This window comes from Homo sapiens, chromosome 1, assembly GCF_000001405.40.
Source record: "Homo sapiens chromosome 1, GRCh38.p14 Primary Assembly".
Taxonomy (NCBI): Eukaryota; Metazoa; Chordata; class Mammalia; order Primates; family Hominidae; genus Homo; species Homo sapiens.
The window spans coordinates 163,368,412-163,374,665 of NC_000001.11; positions in this window are offsets into that span (position 1 = coordinate 163,368,412).

Here is a 6,254-nt window from a genome sequence, read left to right on the forward strand (position 1 = left end):
TCTATTAAATAGAGGGAAATCAGATCAAAGAGGGATGCAAAAAGTCTCCTACTATAAAGCACAGGTCTGCTGATCAGTCAATTGAATGTCAGAGAGAATTGCAAGCTGTGACAGAGAAGTGGCTCATTTTTATGGTAATGAATTTGAATTTTTAAAAATGTACTAAACTACACTTGCTTGCTCTAGAATTTTGAAGTTCATTGGCATTACTTGGCAACAGAGATTTATACGGTGGTGGGAGGGATCCCACCAGCCTTCAGAGAGCTTGAGCTCAGAGAAAACCGTGCCATGCACGATGACTGCAGTTCTCATACCGCATCTGAGCTCAGAGGGGCAGGTGACGCTCTTCCCATTTCATGGATGTGATTCTAAAATGTCCAGATTCATTTTTGTACTAGACAAAATGTTTGGTGTGGCTGTTAGAGGTTTACATTTATTGACTTTTGAGAATGAAAAGTACACTTTATCATTTCTCCGTATTCCTGAGGCTCATGAGAAGGCAGCCAAAAGAGAAAACTAGCTCAAAACTCAGAAGAAATTAGGTCTTTCTGGCATGATTGCTGCTGCTCAGTGAGGATCTCTTACTAAAGGAGCTAGACAATAAGGACAGACACTTCCTAATTCCAAAATTGCTCCACAGGACAGAACAGACAGGTCTGACCTTCCTCTCCTTAAAAATTCAGCAGAATATTCCAGTCTATGTTGGGCAATAGTTGCTCCGAACATCTTTTTGGTAGGTCCTGCTATAGCAGGGTCTAGCCCTTCGAGCCCCAAATCTCTGTAGACTATTCACCTAGTGCCATGACATTCACTCTTACATTCTCTCTCATGGCTCACTGTGTGAGCTCTTCAGCTGTCTGGCTGGTCCTTCATTAACCCTTTTGGTGTGTTCAGAGGTGGCATTATTGCCTTCCCTTTATTTAATCCTGTGTGACTTGAGTAGGCTATTAGTACAGCACAAATAACTGAAAATTTATGCCGAGGTTAATCAACAAATGTCCTGATTTATTTGGAAAGTCTGGACTGGAAAAGTCATGTGAAAAGCAGAGTTAGTTGTTAATATGTTGGCTTCAGCCAGAATGGTTAAAACTAAATAACATCGCATTGTTAGGATTAGAAACAACTCTTCACCCCAGAGAAATTTCAAACTTATCACCTGGTTATGAATAACTTCTGCTAATTAATAATGCCAGCCTTAGGCAATTTGGGTCCTGCTTCTATATACAGTTGGCACTTGAACAACAGGGGTCTGACCTGCATATATCCACTTAGGTGAAGATTTTCTTCTGCCTCTGCCACCCCTGAGACAGCAAGATCAGGTCCTTCTCTTTATTCTCCTCCTCAGCCTACTCAGCATGAAGATGAGGATGAGAACCTTTATGATGATCCAATTCCACTTAATAAATAGTAAATATATTTTCTTTTCCTTATGATTTTCTTAAGAACATTTTCTTTTATCTAGCCTACTTCACTGTAAGAATACAGTATATAATGCCTATAACATATTAAATATGTGTCAACCTGCTATTTATGTTATGGGTAAGGCTTCTGGTCAACAGTACGCTTTTAGTAGTTAAGTCTTGAGGGAGTCAAAAGTTAGACACGGATTTTTGACTATGTGTGGTGTCAGCTGCCCTAACCCTCATGTTGTCCAAAAGTCAACTGTGTTGTTTTTCTTGTTGTTTTTCTTTATCCACATCAATCAGACGGAGATCTCAGCCAGCCCCACCAAAAACATGGTTTTGCTTGTACTTTCTATTCAATAAGTTTATTCATGGGTAGTGCAAATAATGTTACTAATTCACTGGGTAAGTCGACGGATATCCCAAGATGTAATGCCCAGTCTCATGTACTTGAAATGCAATGCCTGACTTGAAGATATATCTAGAAGTGTATATTAGTGCCACCAGGGTAACAAGAACACTCAGGATCTCATGAATACTTGCTCTGTTTCTGGATCCTCATGACATTCATTCTCAAAAAACAGAACTTGTCATATCCATTAACCTAAATTACAGGTAAGAGATCTTTGGGCTAGAGAAGTTTAATGTCACATGTTTACCCAGCTACAGGGAAAAAGTTACCAGCAGTTCCTGAAAGCAGTCTCTGGCTTTCCTACTTAGAACTTAAATTCCTATTCAGCTACCTGATCTGGACCAGGAGGTAGTGAGCTGACATTTAGTTAAATTATTTTGTATCAGTGCCATATCAAGCTTTCAGTACTGTAGTATTTGAAAACAGGTTCAAAATACCCACCAGGCCACAAATATTTTATGAACCCTAGAGAGTTTTAAGGGCCTTATCCTTGTGAGTACTGGTAAGGGTTAGCATAATTACTTGAAACTACCTGTCTCTGTCCTAGGGTTAGGAATGTGGCCTATAACCTTGTATCATCATCTTTTCTCCATAGTAACCATTTTCACCACTCTCTCTTCCATGTCTCACAGTATCCTTTACCTATCTCTTCATATACCGCAGTGTGCTACTATTAATTTCCTATCTGAATGACTCTACCATTGTCTATGAGCTTCTTGGGCTCAGGAATAAAAGCCCATTCAATGTTTGATGCAGTCCCTGACACAAAGGTACTCAATTTCTCTTTATTGTTGTTATTAATCAAAATGGGGGGAAATCCTCATATCCTTGTTATCCTATTCACATACTTGGCCTACTATACACATTTCTTATCTAGAGGTATGATTAATGTGTTATACCTTGCCTAACGCAGGACCTGTTGCATGCTTGGTATTTAATAACTTTTGTAAGATGAAAGTCACCATGCACTAGACAGGTATTTTAACAACTGCCAAGAGATGTGTTTAGAGGATGTCTAGTGTGCATAATATCAAGCATGGAAAACTGTCATACTCCTGAGCAGCCAGAATCTAGTCCTCCTTAGGGCTGTATTCAAGGCTCTATTTTCATAATTCACACTCTCCCTTGGCTTTAATTATCTGCTCTTCTGATAACTCTCAAGTCCATCTATCCAACCCAGACTTTTCTTTAGAGCCCCAGACCCATGTATCTGACTGCCTTCTGGGTACCCCAGTTGGGTGTACTATAGGCATCTCAAACTCAATTCTTCCTAAATAGAACTCATCATTTTCATCTCCTCTTCAAAGCAAATATTACCACCAGCCCACCCATTGCACGTGATAGAAAAGAAAAAAAGCCTTCGCTCATCCCTCTCTCCCTTAACCTCCACAACAATTCAATCAACACACCTGTCAACTCTCTTCTATAATTGTTTGGCCCAGTTCTTTTTCTCCATTCCTCAGACTCACCCACCAGATACTGTTTTGTTCCTCTCCAATCCACATTCTACAACAAAACCAAAATAATCACTATTTTAATAAACTATTACTCCATTGCTGAAAAGTCTCTACTGTTTTCCCATTGCCTTTAGGATAAAGCCAAAACTCTTAACATGGCTTTCAAAGCTCTTGAAAACTTCTTTGTCTCATGACATTCTTGCCGTTCCAAACCTTAATTTGGCTGCTGCTTCTCAACATGGAGCCCTCACCACAATGTTACCTCCTCAAAGACATGTTCCCTTACTACCTTGGCTAAAGGCTAGCTAAAGCAGCCCTACCTCAAAACCACTCAGTTTCTATCTCATTACCTTATATTTTAAAAATGAACTTGTCAATACTTTGGGTATCTTATTAATACTTCCCTATTTGTTGTCTGTCTTCCTCCACTAGGATTTAAGCTCCTCCTCAATGTATATAATACTCAAAGCTGTACCTCCAGATTGTAGAACAATGCTTGGCATGTAGTAGGCACTCCATAGATATTTGTGGATCTACTGAAGGCTCCTTTATATTCTTGTCATTTCCACAATTATGTCATCCTCTACGTCTCTCTTTAAGGACCTTTGCACATGCTGTTTCATACATCCCTTTTCCACACTATTCTTTTAAGCTTGCTAAATACTATTCAGCGTAATTATCATTTCTTCCAAAAAGTCTTTCCTAACCTCAGTTGAGTCCCTCTGTGGCATTCTCACATGTCATCTTGATCATTTTCTATCAAGAGCATTTGACACTGTTGGAATTATTGTATACATAGCTCACTTCCACACTAGACTTCCACATTTTTTAGTTGTTCACAGTTATGTTCTCAGGGCCTAGTATCGTGCTTGGCGCATAACAGGTGCTAATAATAATTTGTGGAGGAATGAATGGATGAAATGTGTTTCAGAAACAGTGTTTCTGTTCTGTGGGGAATTTATTTTCAAATCAGACTCTAATAAATACTTCCTCCCCAAAAGGTGAGAAACACCCTCCTCTCACCCTGGCGTATAGATCCAGTGGGGAAGAATGCTGATTGCACAGGCAGTGAGGATTAGAAAGCTGAGCTGTAGCACCAAGCAGACAAATAGATAAGCTATTCCTAATGTGGTAAGTAATTAGCACACATTTGGCAGAGTGTATTGGAAGGAGCAAACCTCCTTAGCAGTATACTTGGAAAACACTCAGGACTTAAAGCTGAGAAAAAAACAAGGAGCAGTTGCAAATAGATACTAAGAAAAATCTTTACATAGTAATAAAGACCTTGAAACATGGAAACATCATCTCGGAGAGATAAGTATGGGACAAGAACAGAATGTAATATGTGGCAGAATCTCCAAAATTAGGACTAGACGGAAGAAGAAAACTCTGGCTGTTTCTACAACCAAGATTATTTTTCTCTTGTCTTAACCAATCTAAAAAAATGTTTTTTTCTAATTTTTTAATGAGGAAGGAATTGAAGATTAGTGTACAAATTCTATTTTATCGTTGCTCTAGTTGATGTATAGGGGGTTCTTCCTAAGTTAGTTATATTCCTTAAAGTGAACATTTTCATTGGCAGTTCATATTTTTGTGTTTTTATGAAGTCCTGATTTTTTTAAACTCCTACTTTGGCCTCCCAAAGTGTGGGGATCACAGGTGTGAACCACCATGCTCAATTGTACATTTGGACTGGATAGCTGCCAGCAGTCAAAATGTTGGCTCTCAAATTAGTTAATTTGTAGTTTGGTCTAAAGAAGTTTATTTCTCTCTGGGTATGCTACCTAAAATTCCATGGACTCATTTGGAAGATTGTGAAATTCATCAAATGACTTGCCCAACCAAAGTATACAGGGGTGTCCTCATGGAAGAGAACCTACAAGGGGCTCAAGACAGCAGGAGTTCTGCCTTTGTTCTGCTATAACTGAGCATGGTCTGATGGCTTACCTCACGTCTGTGTTCTCCCATGGGTATTAGTAGTCCTATAGTGTCTCTGTAAAGAAGGACTTTGTGATCTTAGCAAAGCCTTAAAATTAGGGTTGGCAAATAAAATACAGCAAATAAACAAATATAAGTTTAGGGCGTGCTTATACTAAAAAGTTATTCATCATTTATCTGAAATTCAAATTTAACTGGGAATCCTGTATTTTTTATTTGCTAAATCTAGCAATGACAATTAAAATTAATTTATCATTAAAAGAAAAATTCCATTTCTCTCAGTTCTCTGCCCATCATGATAAAAAGCCAAAAAAAAGTTGCAGAAGGAAGTAAAAAAAAAAATTTCACTGGTGTCAATTGCTTTTTCATGCAACATAAATGTTTAATTACTGAGACTTCCTTTTCTCTTCCTTCCTTCCTTCCTTTCTTCTTTCTTTCCTTTCTTTCTTTCTTTCTTTCTTTCTTTCTTTCTTTCTTTCTTTCTTTCTTTCTTTCTTTCTTTCTTTCTTTCTTTCTCTCTCTCTCTCTCTCTCTCTTTCTTTCTTTCTTTCTTTCTTTCTTTCTTTCTTTCTTTCTCTCTTTCTTTCTTTCTTTCTTTCTTTTTTCTTTCTTTCTTTCCTTATCTTTCATCTATAACCTTGCTCTTTCACCCAAGTGGGAGTGCAGTGGCACAATCACAGCTCACTGCAGGCTCAACCTCAATCTCCTGTGCTCAAGTGATTCTCCTGCCTTGGCCTTCCAAAGTGCTAGGATTACAGGCATGAGCTACCACACCCGACCTGAGACTTCTTAAAAATAGAAAAGAGTTGACAATCTACTGAGAGAGAAGGCATTTTGAAGCCAGTGATTGGATTTCCACACATTATCTTTTGTTGTTCATGTCTCCATTAGCATAGCAGTTAGAGTGTTTTGCTGCATTTATCTCCTTTGATAAAGTTAGGTGCTTATGAGGTTGTGAACTCAATTCTCAGGAGTATAGGTTAACTTCTGGTTTAGAAGCCAAACTACATTATACACCACAACACACTAGGGACAAAAGGGGCC